Genomic DNA, 21,068 nt, shown 5'->3' with positions numbered 1-21,068 from the left:
TTATAATAGCTAAGAGTAAAATTTAAATATTTGTAACACAACAAAATGGTTAATGCTTGAGGAGATGTATACCCCATTTACCCTGATGTGATTATTATATAGTGTATGCCTTTATCAAAATACCTCATGTACTCATAAGTATATATACCTACTATGTACCATAACAATTAAAAATTAAATTTTTTAAAAAATTAAGAAAAAATACACACAATGTATCTAATATTATAACAACATGTTCTAGCAGTTAAATATATACAATTAATTGCACATTGCCAAATCCTCTTGATATGATTAATCCAAGTTTTCTAGACCATGAATCTAGGCTTGATTTTTTAGCCCCAAACCATGTGTACAATTATTACCAGTCATCCCATTTGGCACTTTATACTTAACAAAACTTATCTGAATTTAAATAATGCAACCCAAAATCTGCTCCTGGCCCTGTGTCCTATTTTAGTGAATTATGACCATTATCCATCTAGTTGCACAATTTTGAAATTTGAGTGTTAAGCTCAATACTCACTCTCCTTTCCAGTAAAACCTGTCAATTGTACCCTCTAAATAGGTCATGAATCCATCCTCTCCTTTCCATTCCCACTGCCACTTCGGCAATCTTAATTTATTTCTGTCAGCTTAAAACAGACAAAAGCTTTGGAGATGGGTGGTTATGTTGGCAGTTTGTAAATGAAAACACAAACCATCACTCATGGGCATAAATCATATAATATTCGATGCCTTTGATAGAAGAGGCATGAAATTCTAAGAGCTTTTTTTGAAATTTTAGATTCAGTTACTGTCCTGAACTGGCTTAATAGGTTAACCCTCAGAGTTCCAAGCAGTGGCTCATGCCTGTAATCCCAGCACTTTAGGAGGCCGAGGTGGGTGGATAACTTGAGGTCAGGAGTTCGAGACCAGCCTGGCCAACATGGCAAAACCCTGTCTCTACTAAAAATACAAAAATTAGCTGGGCATGATGGTGGGTGCCTGTAATCCCAGCTACTCGGGAGGCTGAGGCAGGAGAATCACTTGAACCCAGGAGGTGGAGGTTGCAGTGAGCCGAGATCACGTCATTGCACTCCAGCCTGGGTGACAAGAGCAAAACTCCATCTAAAAAAAAAAAAAAAAAAAAAAAAAAATTCTGTATTGGGACAAAGACAGAGATGACATAGGGGCCCAGGGCAACAATACTCTTAGAGAAGATACAACTTTAAGGCAAATATTAGGGGAAATCTTTAGAAATAGATACCCAAAAAGCAGTATTATTCTGCATTTGAGGGGTAAATTTTTTAGAGGGGAGAACATAGATTTTTCTGTTATCTTCATGACTTCACACCAGCCATGCAGAGAGGCATCAGGGAGCTCCCCATCACCCAATGCAGCATCCCAAGGGCTTCCTATCACCTTGTGTTTCCACAGTTGGGTATAGCCCAGGTCCAAGGAAATTGCAGCAAGTCACAGACCCCAAGGCCAATGTTCTTAGCCCTTGCGTGCATCAGAATCTCTAGAATCAAAATATAAATGTCTGTTCCACTTTCCAGGAGATTCTGAGTTACGCTTCTGATTGTTGAACACATGACTTGACACTGATGAAGTAAATAACAGTAAATGCAACCTCTGAGTACCTTCTCTAGATTTAGCATTTTACTCAATGTTTTAAATGCATGAGTTCATTTAATATTTAATCTTCACAATAATGTGAGGTCAATATTGTTAACCCCATTTCAGCCATAAGGAATCTGAAGCTCAAAGAGCAGTTTGCAAGTTACAGACCCAGAATTCAAACCTGGCTCCAGTTTACACCAAATCCAAACCCATAACCTACCACTGCACAATGCTTTCTCTTTGAGATGCTGTCGTAGTTGTAACCTCCATCCAGATACTTACTGCATGAGCTTGACGACTGTTTGGAGAGTAAGGAAGAGGGTAGGTAAGTTCATCTTACCTCCATTTACTTCATATTGGAAAACTGATGCTTCTCTTTTCAAGGACTCTTACAAACAGGGCCTAGGATAAAATTTAATGGGTTGACGACAATATAATAGGTCTTTTCATCTGCAGACTGCTAGTAGAAATTTATTTCAGAAAATACCAATCTTTAAATGGCTTCCATACCTTTCCCACAGGTTGGCAAATAAACACTTTCCTTGGATCCATCATGTGTCCTGAGACCTGCTCAGGGTTCCTAATCTCTCCATCCTCACCACATCATTAGCCTTAGACCTGTTTTTTGACTCTTCAGGTCTCACATCAGCAGTTCATTAGGCTTTCCTACATCTTTTCTCTTTCTTCCTGATACCAGTAGCTTACTTTTAGTTGACTTAAGGTCACACCAGTACTACTCCTTTTCCTTTTTTTCATGATTTATTCTTCTAAAAAAACAAACAAACAAAAATAAACCTAGGTTTATCATTGCTGAAATCAAGGAGTAAAATACCTTCGGCAGAGCTCTGTTACAAATCTTACAGTGGCCCCTGTGGTGCAATCCTCTTTTTTAACTGCTCAAAAACTCCACACATTTTACTGTGTGTCAAGTAACAATCTGTAAATGACATTTCTAATGAAAACGGGGTGGGGGGAGGGACATTACAACCTAACAATCAACATTTAAAATAACCTTCATTTCATTGTAAAGTAATAAGTAGGGAGGTCCCATCAAGTTCATAAATCAGTAGCTGATGTCCCAGAAAATAACCAGTGTCCCAACTTTCTTTCTCTTGCCATAAAGTTCTGACACAGAAGCATTTTGACTCCTCAAATGTACTCATCTCTTGGCTCTCACTGTCATTAGGCTGCAGAAATAAAGGCTAGATTTCCCCCCAGCATCGTGTGCAGAGGTCTATCACATGACTGCCAACACAGCACAAGATCAGTAGGAGCCAAAGACTAATGAGCACAAAGTCTACCCAGGTACCACAAGGGGGATAGAGTTAAAAATAGAAAACTATTTGTAAGGTTTGTGCCAATTACTCTCTAAATTATTACCTGAGAGCAATTTAATAGAGAAGAGGCTAGAATTATAACTTCATGACCAGGGGAATTGTGGCTCATTTTTTTAACCTGGAATAATGATCAAGTCGTTTCTTTAAGGCTCCTGTCTGTAAGATAATAACAAGAATATAGATGAATGGATGAATAGATAGATGACAGATCAATAGATAGATAGATCAATAGATATGGGTGGAGGGGCAGAGAATGAAAGGATCCATGGCTTCTTGTCACAAATAACTGTGGCATGTCATATCGCCAATATTCTCCGATTAGAGGCACAGATTAGAAAGAAAGTATGAGTGGGGAGGAGCCAAGATGGCCGAATAGGAACAGCTCCCGTCTACAGCTCCCAGCGTGAGCGACACAGAAGACGGATGATTTCTGCATTTCCATCTGAGGTACCGGGTTCATCTCACTAGGGAGTGCCAGAAAGTGGGCGCAGGTCAGTGGGTGCGTGCACCGTGCACCAGCCGAAGCAGGGTGAGGCATTGCCTCACTTGGGAAGCGCAAGGGGTCAGGGAGTTCCCTTTCTGAGTCAAAGAAAGGGGTGACAGACGGCACCTGGAAAATCGGGTCACTCACACCCGAATACTGCGCTTTTCCGACCGGCTTAAAAAACGGCGCACCACGAGATTATATCCCACACCTGGCTCGGAGGGTCCTACCCCCACGGAGTCTCCTTGATTGCTAGCACAGCAGTCTGAGATCAAACTGCAAGGCTGCAGCGAGGCTGGGGGAGGGGCGCCCGCCATTGCCCAGGCTTGATTAGGTAAACAAAGCAGCCGGAAAGCTCCAACTGGGTGGAGCCCACCACAGCTCAAGGAGGCCTGCCTGCCTCTGTAGGCTCCACCTCTGGGGGCAGGGCACAGACAAACAAAAAGACAGCAGTAACCTCTGCAGACTTAAATGTCCCTGTCTGACAGCTTTGAAGAGAGCAGTGGTTCTCCCAGCACGCAGCTGGAGATCTGAGAACGGGCAGACTGCCTACTCAAGTGGGTCCCTGACCCCTGACCCCTGGGCAGCCTAACTGGGAGGCACCCCCCAGCAGGGGCACACTGACACCTCACACGGCAGGGTATTCCAACAGACCTGCAGCTGAGGGTCCTGTCTGTTAGAAGGAAAACTAACAAACAGAAAGGACATCCACACGAAAAACCCATCTGTACATCACCATCATCAAAGACCAAAAGTAGATAAAACCACAAAGATGGGGAAAAAACAGAACAGAAAAACTGGAAACTCTAAAAAGCAGAGTGCCTCTCCTCCTCCAAAGGAACGCAGTTCCTCACCAGCAACGGAACAAAGCTGGATGGAGAATGACTTTGACGAGCTGAGAGAAGAAGGCTTCAGACAATCAAATTACCCTGAGCTACGGGAGGACATTCAAACCAAAGGCAAAGAAGTTGGAAACTTTGAAAAAAATTTAGAAGAATGTATAACTAGAATAACCAATACAGAGAAGTGCTTAAAGGAGCTGATGGAGCTGAAAACCAAGGCTCGAGAACTATGTGAAGAATGCAGAAGCCTCAGGAGCCGATGCGATCAACTGGAAGAAAGGGTATCAGTGATGGAAGATGAAATGAATGAAATGAAGTGAGAAGGGAAGTTTAGAGAAAAAAGAATAAAAAGAAATGAGCAAAGCCTCCAAGAAATATGGGACTATGTGAAAAGACCAAATCTACATCTGATTGGTGTACCTGAAAGTGATGCGGAGAATGGAACCAAGTTGGAAAACACTCTGCAGGATATTATCCAGGAGAACTTCCCCAATCTAGCAAGGCAGGCCAACATTCAGATTCAGGAAATACAGAGAACGCCACAAAGATACTCCTCGAGAAGAGCAACTCCAAGACACATAATTGTCAGATTCACCAAAGTTGAAATGAAGGAAAAAATGTTAAGGGCAGCCAGAGAGAAAGGTCGGGTTACCCTCAAAGGGAAGCCCATCAGACTAACAGCGGATCTCTCGGCAGAAACCCTACAAGCCAGAAGAGAGTGGGGGCCAATATTCAACATTCTTAAAGAAAAGAATTTTCAACCCAGAATTTCATATCCAGCCAAACTAAGCTTCATAAGTGAAGGAGAAATAAAATACTTTACAGACAAGCAAATGCTGAGAGATTTTGTCACCACCAGGCCTGCCCTAAAAGAGCTCCTGAAGGAAGCGCTAAACATGGAAAGGAACAACCGGTACCAGCTGCTGCAAAATCATGCCAAAATGTAAAGACCATCGAGACTAGGAAGAAACTGCATCAACTAACGAGCAAAATCACCAGCTAACATCATAATGACAGGATCAAATTCACACAAAACAATATTAACTTTAAATGTAAATGGACTAAATGCTCCAATTAAAAGACACAGACTGGCAAGTTGGATAAAGAGTCAAGACCCATCAGTGTGCTGTATTCAGGAAACCCATCTCACGTGCAGAGACACACATAGGCTCAAAATAAAAGGATGGAGGAAGATCTACCAAGCAAATGGAAAACAAAAAAAGGCAGGGGTTGCAATCCTAGTCTCTGATAAAACAGACTTTAAACCAACAAAGATCAGAAGAGACAAAGAAGGCCATTACATAATGGTAAAGGGATCAATTCAACAAGAGGAGCTAACTATCCTAAATATATATGGACCCAATACAGGAGCACCCAGATTCATAAAGCAAGTCCTGAGTGACCTACAAAGAGACTTAGACTCCCACACATTAATAATGGGAGACTTTAACACCCCACTGTCAACATTAGACAGATCAACGACACAGAAAGTCAACAAGGATACCCAGGAATTGAACTCAGCTCTTCACCAAGCGGACCTAATAGACATCTACAGAACTCTCCACCCCAAATCAACAGAATACACATTTTTTTCAGCACCACACCACACCTATTCCAAAATTGACCACACAGTTGGAAGTAAAGCTCTCTTCAGCAAATGTAAAAGAACAGAAATTATAACAAACTAACTCTCAGACCACAGTACAATCAAACTAGAACTCAGGATTAAGAATCTCACTCAAAGCCGCTCAACTACCTGGAAACTGAACAACCTGCTCCTGAATGACTACTGGGTACATAACGAAATGAAGGCAGAAATAAAGATGTTCTTTGAAACCAACGAGAACAAAGACACAACATACCAGAATCTCTGGGACGCATTCAAAGCAGTGTGTAGAGGGAAATTTATAGCACTAAATGCCCACAAGAGAAAGCAGGAAAGATCCAAAATTGACACCCTAACATCACAATTAACAGAACTAGAAAAGCAAGAGCAAACACATTCAAAAGCTAGCACAAGGCAAGAAATAACTAAAATCAGAGCAGAACTGAAGGAAATAGAGACACAAAAAACCCTTCAAAAAATCAATGAATCCAGGAGCTGGTTTTTTGGAAGGATCAACAAAATTGATAGACCGCTAGCAAGACTAATAAAGAAAAAAAGAGAGAAGAATCAAATAGACACAATAAAAAATGATAAAGGGGATATCACCACCGATCCCACAGAAATACAAACTACCATCAGAGAATACTACAAACACCTCTATGCAAATAAACTAGAAAATCTAGAAGAAATGGATAAATTCCTGGACACATACACTCTCCCAAGACTAAACCAGGAAGAAGTTGAATCTCTGAATAGACCAATAACAGGAGCTGAAATTGTGGCAATAATCAGTAGTTTACCAACCAAAAAGACTCCAGGACCAGATGGATTCACAGCCGAATTCTACCAGAGGTACAAGGAGGAACTGGTACCATTCCTTCTGAAACTATTCCAATCAATAGAAAAAGAGGGAATCCTCCCTAACTCATTTTATGAGGCCAGCATCATTCTGATACCAAAGCCTGGCAGAGACACAACCAAAAAAGAGAATTTTAGACCAATATCCTTGATGAACATTGATGCAAAAATCCTCAATAAAATACTGGCAAAATGAATCCAGCAGCACATCAAAAAGCTTATCCACCATGATCAAGTGGGCTTCATCCCTGGGATGCAAGGCTGGTTCAATATACGCAAATCAATAAATGTAATCCAGCATATAAACAGAGCCAAAGACAAAAACCACATGATTATCTCAATAGATGCAGAAAAAGCTTTTGACAAAATTCAACAACCCTTCATGCTAAAAACTCTCAATAAATTAGGTATTGATGGGACATATCTCAAAATAATAAGAGCTATCTATGACAAACCCACAGCCAATATCATACTGAATGGGCAAAAACTGGAAGCATTCCCTTTGAAAACTGGCACAAGACAGGGATGCCCTCTCTCACCGCTCCTATTCAACATAGTGTTGGAAGTTCTGGCCAGGGCAATCAGGCAGGAGAAGGAAATAAAGGGTATTCAATTAGGAAAAGAGGAAGTCAAATTGTCCCTGTTTGCAGACGACATGATTGTTTATCTAGAAAACCCCATCGTCTCAGCCCAAAATCTCCTGAAGCTGATAAGCAACTTCAGCAAAGTCTCAGGATACAAAATCAATGTACAAAAATCACAAGCATTCCTATACACCAACAACAGACAAACAGAGAGCCAAATCATGAGTGAACTCCCATTCACAATTGCTCCAAAGAGAATAAAATACCTAGGAATCCAACTTACAAGGGATGTGAAGGACCTCTTTAAGGAGAACTACAAGCCACTGCTCAAGGAAATAAAAGAGGATACAAACAAATGGAAGAACATTCCATGCTCATGGGTAGGACGAATCAATATCGTGAAAATGGCCATACTGCCCAAGGTAATTTACAGATTCAGTGCCACCCCCATCAAGCTACCAATGACTTTCTTCACAGAATTGGAAAAAACTACTTTAAAGTTCATATGGAACCAAAAAAGAGCCCACATCACCAAGCCAATCCTAAGCCAAAAGAACAAAGCTGGAGGCATCACACTACCTGACTTCAAACTATACTACAAGGCTACAGTAACCAAAACAGCATGGTACTGGTACCAAAACAGAGATATAGATCAATGGAACAGAAAAGAGCCCTCAGAAATAACGCCGCTTACCTACAACTATCTGATCTTTGACAAACCTGAGAAAAACAAGCAATGGGGAAAGGATTCCCTATTTAATAAATGGTGCTGGGAAAACTGGCTAGCCATATGTAGAAAGCTGACACTGGATCCCTTCCTTACAACTTATACAAAAATCAATTCAAGATGGATTAAAGACTTAAACGTTAGACCTAAAACCATAAAAACCCTAGAAGAAAACCTAGGCATTACCATTCAGGACATAGGCGTGGGCAAGGACTTCATGTCCAAAACACCAAAAGCAATGGCAACAAAAGCCAAAATTGACAAATGGGATCTAATTAAACTAAAGAGCTTCTGCACAGCAAAAGAAACTACCATCAGAGTGAACAGGCAACCTACAAAATGGGAGAAAATTTTTGCAACCTACTCATCTGACAAAGGGCTAATATCCAGAATCTACAATGAACTCAAACAAATTTACAAGAAAAGAGCAAACAACCCCATCAAAATTGGGCAAAAGACATGAACAGACACTTCTCAAAAGAAGACATTTATGCAGCCAAAAAACACATGAAAAAATGCTCATCATCACTGGCCATCAGAGAAATGCAAATCAAAACCACTATGAGATATCATCTCACACCAGTTAGAATGGCAATCATTCAAAAGTCAGGAAACAACAGGTGCTGGAGAGGATGTGGAGAAATAGGAATACTTTTACACTGTTGGTGGGACTGTAAACTAGTTCAACCATTGTGGAAGTCAGTGTGGCGATTCCTCAGGGATCTAGAACTAGAAATACCATTTGACCCAGCCATCCCATTACTGGGTATATACCCAAATGACTATAAATCATGCTGCTATAAAGACACATGCATACGTATGTTTATTGCGGCATTATTCACAATAGCAAAGACTTGGAACCAACCCAAATGTCCAACAATGATAGACTGGATTAAGAAAATGTGGCACATATACACCATGGAATATTATGCAGCCATAAAAAATGATGAGTTCATGTCCTTTGTAGGGACATGCATGAAATTGGAAACCATCATTCTCAGTAAACTATCGCAAGAACAAAAAACCAAACACCGCATATTCTCACTCATAGGTGGGAATTGAACAATGAGATCACATGGACACAGGAAGGGGAATATCACACTCTGGGGACTGTGGTGGGGAGGTGGGAGGGGGGAGGGATAGCACTGGGAGATATACCTAATGCTAGATGACGAGTTAGTGGGTGCAGCGCACCAGCATGGCACATGTATACATATGTAACTAACCTGCACAATGTGCACATGTACCCTAAAACTTAAAGTATAATTAAAATAAATAAATAAATAAATAAATAAATAAATAAATAAATAAATCAAAAAAAAAAAAAAGAAAGTTAATCCCCAAAGCAACAGTGTTGGGAGGTGGAGTCTAATGGGAGGTGTTTATGTCATGAGGAGAGCCCTCATTAATGGATGAGTGCCACTATAAGAAGGGCTTGCAGAAGTGGGTTTCTCCTCTTCTGCTCTTCTGCCATGTAGGAACAGTTTTCACCTGCTCTGGAGGATATGGCATTCAAGACACCATCTTGGGAGTAGAGACCCAGCTCTTAACAGACACCAGATGCCAGCACCTTGATCTTGGACTTCCAAACCTCCAGAACTGTCAGAAATAAATTTCTGCTCTTTGTAAATTACCCACTCTGTGGTATTTTGTTATAGTATCACAAAACAGATTAAAATAATATGTATACATATATATGATACATACAAAATAATTTAATTCCAGTATCAACCTTGAATAGATCTGTGTTACGCCGGTTTTTCACACAAGGAAACATTAACTTAAGTAAATACTCCCTCTACACCCTCTTTAAATTCTCCTGGTCTTCAGGTTATAAACATGCTCAAGCTCTGTTATATTAATCTTCCTCCCATAACTCTTCCTCAACCTTAAGTTTTGCTTGGCTTCCACCACCAAGCTTTTGAAAATGCTAATCACTGTTTATCACCTTCAGTTAGGAAGTAGCAAAGTCAGGATTCAAAGCCAAGTCAGATTGATCCTAAAGTATGGTCTAAGCTCTATACCATATGCATGTTCTTAGCTGTATATTTCTACAATTTTTTTTCGAAGGATGTTTGTGTAGAGAATGTGGCTGTGTGGTGGGTCTCTAAGCGTGAAACAGAACATCAGGTTGTCACACAAATCTGTGATGCCAATGGTCACAAACTCACCTCTCATTCCCCAGAGTGCTATTAAAAAGTATAACTTTCCTTGTCATCTCTATTGATTTCTCCCTTTTCACAAAGGTAAACTCCATGCTCAGCCATCAGGCAGAATCAGTTTAGAGCATTTCCCAACTCTGATTTTCTTTGCTGGAGGAACGAGGGGCAAGAAAAGCAATACATTTTTGCTTTTCAATTCAATCTTTTTCTAATTGAGTCAAGGGCTGCTTACCTTGAGCGAAGTTGTACTTTTGTTTTAAACAAAGCCATCATTTATATAGAGATCTTATCATGAGATGAGGGGCATACAGAAATTTCAATATCGCAAGCCAGAACTCTCTGAAGAGAGTTTTACCACATGGTGAAACTCCCAGTCCAAACTCAGTGAAATGTCAGAATCATGGAGAAATTCAGGAGCTAATGTAGTACAGTAATATATCTAATGTAAGAAATAGTCTTCCTTTAGTCAATTATTTGGTATTTCTACTCCACTGCTTTCACAACTAAGAAAATTGAATGAATGTGAATTAAAGGCTGAATCAAATAAGAAACTAAAATTAATTGCCTTCCAAAGTATAATTTTAGAAGCTGGTACAAAAGTTCCCTGGAGGAAGGAATCTGAAATTAATAATAAATGACTTAGCACCCACTATGCACCAGGAACTTCACTGTTCTTATTTCTAATATTAACAACCCCATGAGGCAGATATGTGTCCCAGAAGACCTTTGACCATTTAAATTCTCCTTTGTAAAATGAAAGCCCCCTTAATATTCACCATGCTTTTAAGAATGTATTTTCCATTCTCTTGGGGGAAATACATCTCTTGATGTATCATGACTGTTATCTGTTATTTTAGGTACACCTTTCTGGAAAGAAAAAATTTTTCACTGTTGTAACAAATAGAAGATTAATGCCTTTCATATTTTGAAGGAAATCTCTGTTCAAAAAACTGTTTCAGGGTTTTTAAATACTGCTACCAAAAAGAGAGAGACTAGTTGTAATTGGAAGCCATCACAGTGGATAAAAAGTAAAGCTGACTTGAGGCTATCTGAAAGAGACTTTGCTAAAACTGTGAACCTGAGGAGACAATGGAACTCTCCCAGTTTGAGTGAATGTAGATCACAAAGAACTGAATCCTGAGCTAGAGGACATTAATGGTCACCAAGGTTGAGGACATGCTCATGACATAGCCTCAGGAAGTGCTGACAACATGTGCCTAAGGTGGTCGGGGCATAGCTTGGTTTTATACATTTTAGGGAGACATGAGACATCAATCAATATATGTAAGAAGTACAGTACTTCCATCCAGAAAGGTGGAGACAACTCAAAGCAAGTCTTCCCCTGGGGACTTCCAGGCCATAGGTAGGTGAGAGAGAAATGGTTGCATTATTTTGAGTTTCTGGTAAGTCATTCCAAAGGAGGCAATCAGAATATGCATCTGTCTCTGTGGGTAGAGGGATGACTTTGAATAGAATGGGAGGCAGATTTGCCCTGAGCAGTTTCTAGCTTGAAGGGGCCCAAGTTATTTTTCTTTCACAGGTGTATGCTAGAAATGGAATTTCTGGATCATAGGATACACATATTCTTAAGGCCAGTGTAGGGAACAAAAAAAGCTTTCTTCTACCCTTCTAGGTTCTCTGGCTGCCTTAAGAGTTAATTTGACATAACACAGGATAACAGAAGGAAAAAAAATTATCACAAATATAAGTATGCATGGAAGTTTCACAAAAATATATGAGACTTGAAGTAGCCTAAGACTGCTGAGACTCCACTGAGACATATATTGTCCTGGGCTATGCAAAGAAACAGCGATTTGGGGCTTCTGGGTATGGGGGAGGAGGTAAATTATGGGAGTGTGAGAGGAGGAAAAGTATAGTTAATAAAAGTTGCCTTGCTATGCCTTGAAGAGTCTCTCAGGTGATAAAAATTGTCTCTGAGAGTAACTGTCTTCCTAATACAGATATTTTTACTGATGAAAATTTCTTTTACAAAAGTGGAAATTTATACACTATTATAAGTGGTTAAGGAGGAAATTAAAAGCTTTTTCTGGGCCTGCTAGTTCTCAATTGCCTTTAGCTCAAAACATTCCATTTTCCAAAATGATATATTTTGAGGTGGCATATTTTGAACCTCTTCATTGGTAATACTACCAAACAGTTTTCCATAATAGTTGTGCTGATATATACCACCAGCAAATTGTAGAATTCCAGTTATTTCACATGGTAAGGATTCTCTTCTACCCTTCTAATTTCTCTGCTGAGGGCTCTATAACAACAACAAAAAAATTAACAAGAGAAAAGCACAAAAATGTATTTAATCTATGTTTTACAACACGGGAGCTTTCATAATGAAAGGAAGACCTGAAGAAACAATTAAACCTCAGTGTTTTTATACTGAGTTTAATGAAAAGCAGAGAGTTGTAGGCAAATGAGATAGGACAAAAAGGGATACAAGCTGAGGGTAGTTGACTGGGGGAAACTTAGCAAGACCTTGTCACTCAGATTCTTCTTGGCATCCATCTGTCTTCAGAGATAAGGATGCTGCTTTTGCAGGAAAAGTGGGGGACTCCTTCACATGAGGGGCTTATGACCTGCTTCAGGAGAAGACTAGAAACTCCTTCCTGCACTTGTCATTTCTCTAACTTCCTCAGATTAAAATATTCAATATGCCATGGGGCCATATTTGGAGTAGAGTGTCCTTAAACCCATCAGCATCCTTACCATTCCCAGTCTTTTTAAGTTTAGGTAGTCTGGTGAGTGTGTGCTGGTATCTCCTTGCAGTTTTAATTTACATGTCCCTGTTAGTGCAGAGAACATTTTCACATCCTCATTGAACATTTGAACATAAATAACCTTTGGGGAAAAAAATCAAGCCATTTTACTAGTGGGTTCATCTAAACTTTTTGGAAATGTATATTGTTTTACAGGAGCCTTTTATATACTTTGAATATAAACAGTTTTTGTTATTTATGATTTTCTTCCCTTCTATCTTGCACTTTCAATCTCTTAATAATGCCTTTTGATCAACAGAAGTTCCTATTCTTAATATAGTTCAATGTCCTTACTTTTTCACTTGTTTCACTACAAATTTAAAGGTATGTTGGCTACCTTTTTATCTAGTATGTTATGCAAAGAAGATTTTTCAATTCTAATCTGCCATATTGTCAGAAACATATGCCAGTTGCTTCTTTTTCTTAAGAACATAAAATACATTTTTCTGAAGGAAACAACATCAATGCAAAAGTCATCTGCTTTCCTTTTTCTTGTTTGCCATGGTTAAAAAATTATGATCAGAATTTTTAAAAATGCATTTCACATAAGCATGTTTTACCCTTGATTCTGCCATACCCACAGGAAACTTAATTGGATCAAACCTCCCTCCTTTCTGCCTCCTAAGAGCCTTGCTTATCTCTGAGGCCCTTGGCCACTTGTTTTATCTGAGGCATTGCCATGGCCAAAAACTCTGCATGAGCTCCATCCAGCTCCACTGAGCTACTAACCTCATAGGGCACAAAGTTGTTAGTCTCCTGACTGCACTACAGAACTCTGACTTATTGCCCCAGGAATTCTGTCAGTGATGAAGTTTGTAGCCTGGAAATACAAGAGAATTGACATCCGTGGAGCAAAACTATGACCAATGGGAGGTAGAAAGCAGTGGAGAAATTCATCTCTTCTCCTACCTGTGGACAGGCTTATTTGAGAAACATTTGTTCATATGCCCTCTCAGAATATGGTCCTGCAAAATCAACTAATCGTCTGAATCTGTACCAAGTGGTAGGCAGCTGGGTAACACATTCCCTCCTTCTCTCTCCTTCCCCCACATCCTGCTTCCCTGAGATTGTACTCCTTAATAAATTAATATCACATAAACATTTGCTTCAGGCTCTAAGCTTTCTGGGGAAGTTAGACAGACACTTAAGGACTCTAACAAATCAGATTCTTATGTTAAACATGGCCATTAAACTAAATGCTTTGTTTCCTTTTTGTTCTAAGGTCCAATGGTTCTTTCTCTTGGAAAATGACTTGTAATTCTACCCTGTGGTCATGATGTGATGAATAGGCATTAAAAACTCACTGAAAGTAAAAACATTGAAAAGTGAAAAGTTATCTTCGGGGTTAAGGAGAATAGTTGCATGATAAAGTGGTGCAAATTGGAAAATGTTTGTTACCAATTAGTTTCTTAAATTACCTATAATTTTCAAACATAATCCCTGTGATGTTACATTTTCTGATAAATCAACAACAGCAACAAAATGGATTACTTTGTCTTATGAGTACCAGTTAAGCCAAGGGAAGTTTCCATTACTAGACTCACACAGACACACACACACACACACACACACACACACACAGCCAAGCATCTCCATTTTAAGATGACCACATTTATGTTTTCTGTCTTTCTTATCTTTTTTCAAAAAATGTTTACTGATGCATAATAGATGTACATGGTTTGGGAGTACATGTGAAAATGTAATATATTGATATAAAGTGTAAACATCAAAATAGTGTACCTGGGATATCTACCCACTTAAATAGTTTTCTTTTTTTTAATACTAGAACCATTTGAATTATTCTCTTTTAGCTCTTTCAAAATGTAAATACATTATTGTGAACTATAGTTACTCTACTGATCTATCTAACACTAATTCTTATTTCTTCCATCAAACCACATATTTGTACCCACTAATCACCTTTTCTTCAAATCCTCCTCCCCCTTACCTTCTTGGCCTCTGGCAACCACAAATTGATTATCTATGTTTATGAGAAACAAGTTTAAACACACACATATGAATAAGAATATGGAATATTTGACTTTGTGCATTTCACTTATGTCATTTAATATAATGACCTCCAGTTCCATCCATGTTGCTAACATATGACAGGATTTCATGCTTTTTTAATGGATTAACAATATTCTATTGTATGTATAGACCATATTTTCTTTATCCATTCATTCCCTGATGGGCACTTAGGTTTATTCCACCTTTTGGCTATTATGGTTAGTGCTCAAATAAACATGGAGTGCAGATATCTTTTCAATATACTGGATTTCCCTTTTGTAAGCAATATGACCAGTAGTGGAATTGCTGGATCTTATGGTAGTTCTATCTTTCAATTTCTGAGGAACCTCTATGCTGTTCTCCATAGGGGCTGTACTAATTTAGATTCCCACCAACAGTGTACAAGTATTCTTCTTTTTTTACATCCTCACCAGTGTCTGTTATTGCCTGAGATTTTTTGTTTCTTTTTTGTTTTCATAAAGGCCATTTTAACAGGAGTGAGATGATATCTCATTGTAATTCTGATTTGCATTTGGTTACTGATGTTAAGCATTTTTTCCATTTACCTAATGGCCATTTGTATGTCTTCTTTTAAGAAATGTCTATTCAGATTCACACATAACATGATCTTATACTTAGAAAAACCTAAAGACGTCACCAAAAATAAATTCAGTAAAGTTGCAGGATACAATATCAACATACCAAACCAGTAGCATTTATATATGCCAACAGTGGGCAATCTAAAGAAGAAATAAAGAAAGCAATCCCATTTGCAATAGCCACCAAGGATACAAAATACCTGAGAATCAATTTAACCAAAGAAGTGAAAGATCTATACAAGGAAAACTATAAAACACTGATGAAAGTAATAGAAGAGGACACCAAAAAATGGAAAGATATTCCATGCTCATGGATTGGAAGAATTAACATTGTTAAAATGGTAGTACTGTCAAAAGTAGTTTACAGATTAAATACAATCCCTATCAACATATCAATAACATTCTTCACAGAAATAGAAAAATAAACTAAAGTTTGTATTAAACCACAAAAAAAGCCAAAATAATCCTGAGCAAAAAGAACAGAACTGGAGGCATCAAACTACCTGATTTCGAAATTCACTACAAAGCTATAGTAATCAAATCAGCATGGTACTGGCACAAAAATAGACATATAGAACAATGGAACAGAATGGAGAATCCAGATATAAATCCATGCATTTGCAGCCAGCTCATCTTCAGCAAAGGCAAAGAACATACAATGGGGAAAGGATAGTTTCTTCATAAAATGTGCTGGGAAAACCAGATGACTATATGTACAAGAATGAAACTAGACCCCATCACTCACCATACAGAAGAATCAATTCAAAATGGGTTAAAAACTTAAATCTAAGATGTAAAACTATAAACTACTAGAAGAAAACATTGGGAAAACCCTATGGACTTTTTTTGTTTTGTATAAGACATCAAAAGCACAGGCAACAAAAGCAAAAATAGACAAATGGAATTACATCAAGTTAAACAATTCTGCACAGAAAAGTAAGCAATCAACAAAGTGAAGAGATAATACACAGAATGGGAGAAAATATTTGCAAATTGTCCACCTGACAAGTGATTAGCTACCAGAACGTATAAGAAACTCAAACAATTCCATAGCAAAAAAAAAAAAAAAAAACAAATGATTCAATTTACAAATGGGCCAAAATTTATCTTTTGGCTGGGCGTGGTGGCTCACACTTATTTTATTTTGTTTTATTTTTTATTTTTTGAGACAGTGGCGCGATCTCGGCTCACTGCAAGCTCTGCCTCCCGGGTTCAAGCAATTCTCCTGCCTCAGCCTCCCGAGTAGCTGGGACCACAGGCGCCCGCCACCATACCCCAGCTAATTATTTGTATTTTTAATAGAGGTGGGAAGCCAGGAAGGTCTCGCCAGGAAGGTCTCGATCTCCTGACCTCGTGATCCACCCACCTCGACCTCCCAAAGTGTGGGATTACAGGCGTGAGCCACTGTGCCTGGCCCGGCTCACACTTATAATCCCAACATTTTGGGAGGCCGAGTGGGGTGGATCACTTGAGGCCAGGAGTTTGAGACCAGCTTGGCCAACATGGTGAAACCTTGTCTCTACTGAAAATACAAAAATTAGCAGGGAATGATGGAGCATGTCTGTAATCCCAGCTACTGGGAAGGCTGAGGCAGGAGAATCGCTTGAATCTGGGAGGCAGAGGTTGCAGTGAGCTGAGATCATGCCACTGCACTCCAGCTTGGACAACAGAGTGAGAAAAAAAAAAAAAAAGCAAAAGAAAAAAAGTTTATCTTTTAACTTCAACTCACTGCCAGCAGTAAGTGTGAAAAATCACAACCAAACACACTAACCTGCAAATTTCTTTCATAAAGTTGACATGACCTTAATTGGTTTTCATCTTAACATTGAAAAGAATAATTGCATTAGTAACTTGATAAGTATTCTCTGCATTCTCAGTGTGGTCCTGGGACAGCCAGCATGATAATCACTTGAGGTTACTCATTACAAATTATTCCTAAACCCTAATTCACACCTATTGGATCAGCCTCTTTGAAGCTGGGGTTTGAAAATAGACATTTAACAATACTCTGTGGTACATTCTTTTATACATTAAAGTCTTTAAGGACCACCAGTTTATTTAAAGCTTCATTCCAGTCATACAGGTTTTTGTAATCTTCAAACAGGAGACAAAAATTTGGTTTCTCTTATCAGAGAACCATTTTTGTGAGTTGGTATTTTGGGTATGGTATGAAGAGGCACTTGTTAGACTGGCAACAATTACAGTAGATCCCCAAAAGGCTTGGAACTTTGCATCAAAAGAAACTGAGAACAGGGCATTTTTGGATTAGCTTCAGAGGATTTTTTTTTCTAAATCAAAAGAAAACCAGAATATGTTTTATTGTGAAATAGATGCACTGCACTGGAAGAATTAGTATTTTCAAAGAAAACAAGCCGTCTTCTGTTAGTCATATTAATTTATTAACTGTTTCCTTAAGATTTTTCTTTCAAAACAAACTTTTACTGTCCAGTCACATGTTTTTTATATAAAATTTAATTAAATTATAAAGATGTCTAATTACATAAAGAGAGAGAAGCACAAGCACACACAAATATAAAATGAGGTAGAAGAAAATTTCAAAGGTCATTTTTTTCCTGATTAAAATTCATAATAAAATTAAAACAGCTATGTTTTTCATCAAGGAAGTATTTAAGCAGCTAATTTTTATATAAATATATTCCATGCTAGTTCAATAAATTAGAAAAAGGAGCATAATCTTGTTAAGATGCAATTCAGAGGGAACAGTGAATGAATAGCTATTAACATGTGAAAGCAATGAAATGAATGTACTGAATAAATAAGCCCTAAAAAGCTACTCACAGCTAACCAACAGAATTTAGATTTTTTTGTTGTTGTTTCATAAATGAGGTAAGACTTACTTGTGGAGTAACTGACTTCGACATTTTTTTTAAGATGCCAGGAAATTTTTCTTTTGCACATTTCAATGGCAGTCGAGTTCTGCAGCAGCTTGAGAATAAGACCAAGATCACACACTTATCAGGAACATGTGACAAGATCCTGTCATTTTGTCAGAACTTGGTGTTCTGATAAGCTTGCTAGTGGCTCCTTCAGAAATACCACACAAAGGATTGTGGGTCCGATTAAGCATCCAAGGACAGATATTATGATATTTTGTTTCCCCTATCTTTTTTATTGTACTGTTTTCCTTCTCAAAACCTACTAAATTTAAAATTTTTGAATTATAAAATACCTTATTTCTTCTACTTACTTAGAAAACAAATAAACAATCATGCAAACTACAAGTTGCCACTGTTTCAGCTTTGGTTTGGACTTGGTTTAGACTTGCCATGAGCACTAAGGAAAAGGAAGAGTATGCCTCCCATTTCTCAGCTGGAAGGCTTTTCTTGAGCAGCTAGGCCTAACAAAGGTATTTACATAATTTCATCTTTCACATGTACCATCAAGGCCTTATTAAGTTTAGTCTAAATAGAATTACAACTGAAGAGATGAAGCAGTACTCATTGTAAGAGGAAACATCTCTAGAGATATCCTGGATTTCCCTCTTTTTGATGATCAAATCTTTAGTGATTGCGGGTCACTAATGGAGGAAGCATTTGTGTTGCTCTGATCCCAATATTCCAATATTGATTTTCATTAATAACACTAAAGATGAAACTACTGTACGGTACAATTATATTTTTTAAAGTTTTATGTAGAAGTCTTTGAATATTTATTTATAAAATGTGTGAATAAGAAAAAAACATGATTAAAAAAAGGGAAGGTTTCTCACTCTTGAAAAATAAACCATGCAGTCTGGGTGCAGGGGCTCACGCCTGTAATCCCAGCACTTTGGGAGGCTGAGGCGGGCAGATCACGAGGTCAGGAGTTCAAGACCAGCCTGACCAACATGGTGAAACCCCATCTCTACTAAAAATACAAAAATTAGTTGGGCATGGTGGCACGCAGCTGTAGTCTCAGCTACTCAGGAGGCTGAGGCAGGAGAATCGCTTGAACCCGGGAGGTGGAGGTTGCAGTGAGGCGAGATCGCACCATTGCACTCCAGCCTGGGTGACAGAGCGAGACTCTGTATCAAAAATAGAAGGAAGAGAAGGCAAGGGGGGGGGAGGGGACCATGCATATTAATTGCCAACAATCATAGAATTGTTTAATGCATGATTATGATATTATAGGCAAAAATACTTCTTAGGCAAGCTGTGAGAGATGGGAAGAAAATTAGAGATTGTTCAGCAAAGGGAGTTCGAAAATCAGAGAGCAATATTTGTGCTGTTTCAGACACAGACACTGTTGTTAAGTATTCATAATAGTTTGAGGTTTCTTTTAGATGAATATGCCAGGAAAGGCAGATTTTGCTTTGTTTTCTCCTCTTTTATTTCTTTTACTAGTTTAAAAAAGACTAGTATAGCTAAGATGTGTAGTAGCTACATGATAGTATTTACAATGACCATAAATTCCATAAAATTCTGATGCTCTTTATGGGGCCCATAGAGAGGAATAGCTGCCTTAAAGTAAACGGCAATATAAGTAAACAAGATTTTGGTTATTCAAAAAATGATTTATAGTGATATATCTTACCAGATGTTTGAGTTAAATGGCAATTCTTAATACTTAAAGTTAAAAAGAATCCATCCATGTCTAGTATGTCTTATTTTTCTAAATATTGCTAATGTGATTTCCCTTGGCTGATCATTTCTTATAGGAAAAAAATCTAATTTATGCCTAAACAAGTGGAAAAAAATTTTCATGACAAAGTGCAACTGCCTATATCCTATGGTTGTCATTTATTTCAACATTCCTGTCTGAAGCTGTATTAGAAATGGCTATTCTGTGGAGTTCAAGGAACCTCCTGCAGTTTGCTATTAAAATCATTCATTCAAAAAAATCCATTCAGATCCTACTACGTGCCAGGACAGTGCTAGGTGTTGAAGCTACCAATGTGAATACGACAGACACTATCCTTGACTGCTGGGAACTCACAGTTTTGGTGGCAGGTGGGCATCAATTATATAAACACATAGTCAGGACAATTTTCCCAGATGGCATGATACTAGTTCATGCCTGCCACCATCATGACCACTGAAATCACAACTGAGTCCTTCTGGAGCCACAGAACCACTGAATACCCTTCAAAGTGGAAGAGAAGAAACATTGAAACCTTCTAACTTTGGTTATTTCTGATGCTTGCTTATTCCCACATGTACATGACCATTTCTTGATGAAGCCTCTCAAGTAGGACTGAGATTCTTTAGTTCTGAAGACCCTTACTCAGCTTAAGTCTCCTGGAGAAAGTAGAGGGACACAATAATTTTTCTGTTTGTCTGAGAAGGATGAGGGTATTGTTAAATCTGTTCCCAAAATGCATTTAATATCATTTCTCTCCTATAGAACAAGGTTTATAGGTTCAGGTGGCAGCACTGATAAGTTTGAAGAAAGTGAGAGAAAAAAAAATCTACAACGATCTCTTCCCACCATAGCTTGCTACTTTCAGAAGAAAATAGGGTTGAGTAAACCTTTGGAGGAATACTTGG

At 38.5% G+C, this 21,068-nt stretch overlaps 1 long non-coding RNA gene across 1 annotated transcript in view, besides 2 other annotated features; it reads right to left on the bottom strand.

Moving 5' to 3' along the window:
• The window catches only part of LINC01340 (long intergenic non-protein coding RNA 1340), a 166,356-nt gene extending 147,819 nt beyond the window's left edge, over window positions 1-18,537 (bottom strand). The window contains exons 1-2 of the long non-coding RNA NR_105028.1: window positions 18,441-18,537; window positions 1,943-2,004 (exon numbers count right to left, since the gene is read on the bottom strand). This is a non-coding gene — a long non-coding RNA (long intergenic non-protein coding RNA 1340). The remainder of the gene's footprint in view (window positions 1-1,942; window positions 2,005-18,440) is intronic.
• Window positions 3,057-3,590: an enhancer, noted in NCBI's record as "OCT4-NANOG-H3K27ac-H3K4me1 hESC enhancer chr5:96855347-96855880 (GRCh37/hg19 assembly coordinates)". NCBI's record gives its function as "activates a minimal SCP1, AML or CMV promoter by ChIP-STARR-seq in primed H9 embryonic stem cells {active_cell/tissue: H9 hESC(primed)}" and the evidence as "EXISTENCE:reporter gene assay evidence [ECO:0000049][PMID:30033119]".
• Window positions 13,727-14,458: an enhancer, noted in NCBI's record as "NANOG hESC enhancer chr5:96844479-96845210 (GRCh37/hg19 assembly coordinates)". NCBI's record gives its function as "activates a minimal SCP1, AML or CMV promoter by ChIP-STARR-seq in naive H9 embryonic stem cells {active_cell/tissue: H9 hESC(naive)}" and the evidence as "EXISTENCE:reporter gene assay evidence [ECO:0000049][PMID:30033119]".
• Window positions 18,538-21,068: the final 2,531 nt, after the last annotated feature.

Source organism: Homo sapiens, chromosome 5, assembly GCF_000001405.40.
Source record: "Homo sapiens chromosome 5, GRCh38.p14 Primary Assembly".
Classification (NCBI taxonomy): Eukaryota; Metazoa; Chordata; class Mammalia; order Primates; family Hominidae; genus Homo; species Homo sapiens.
This window is presented reverse-complemented; position numbering and strand designations above follow the sequence as displayed.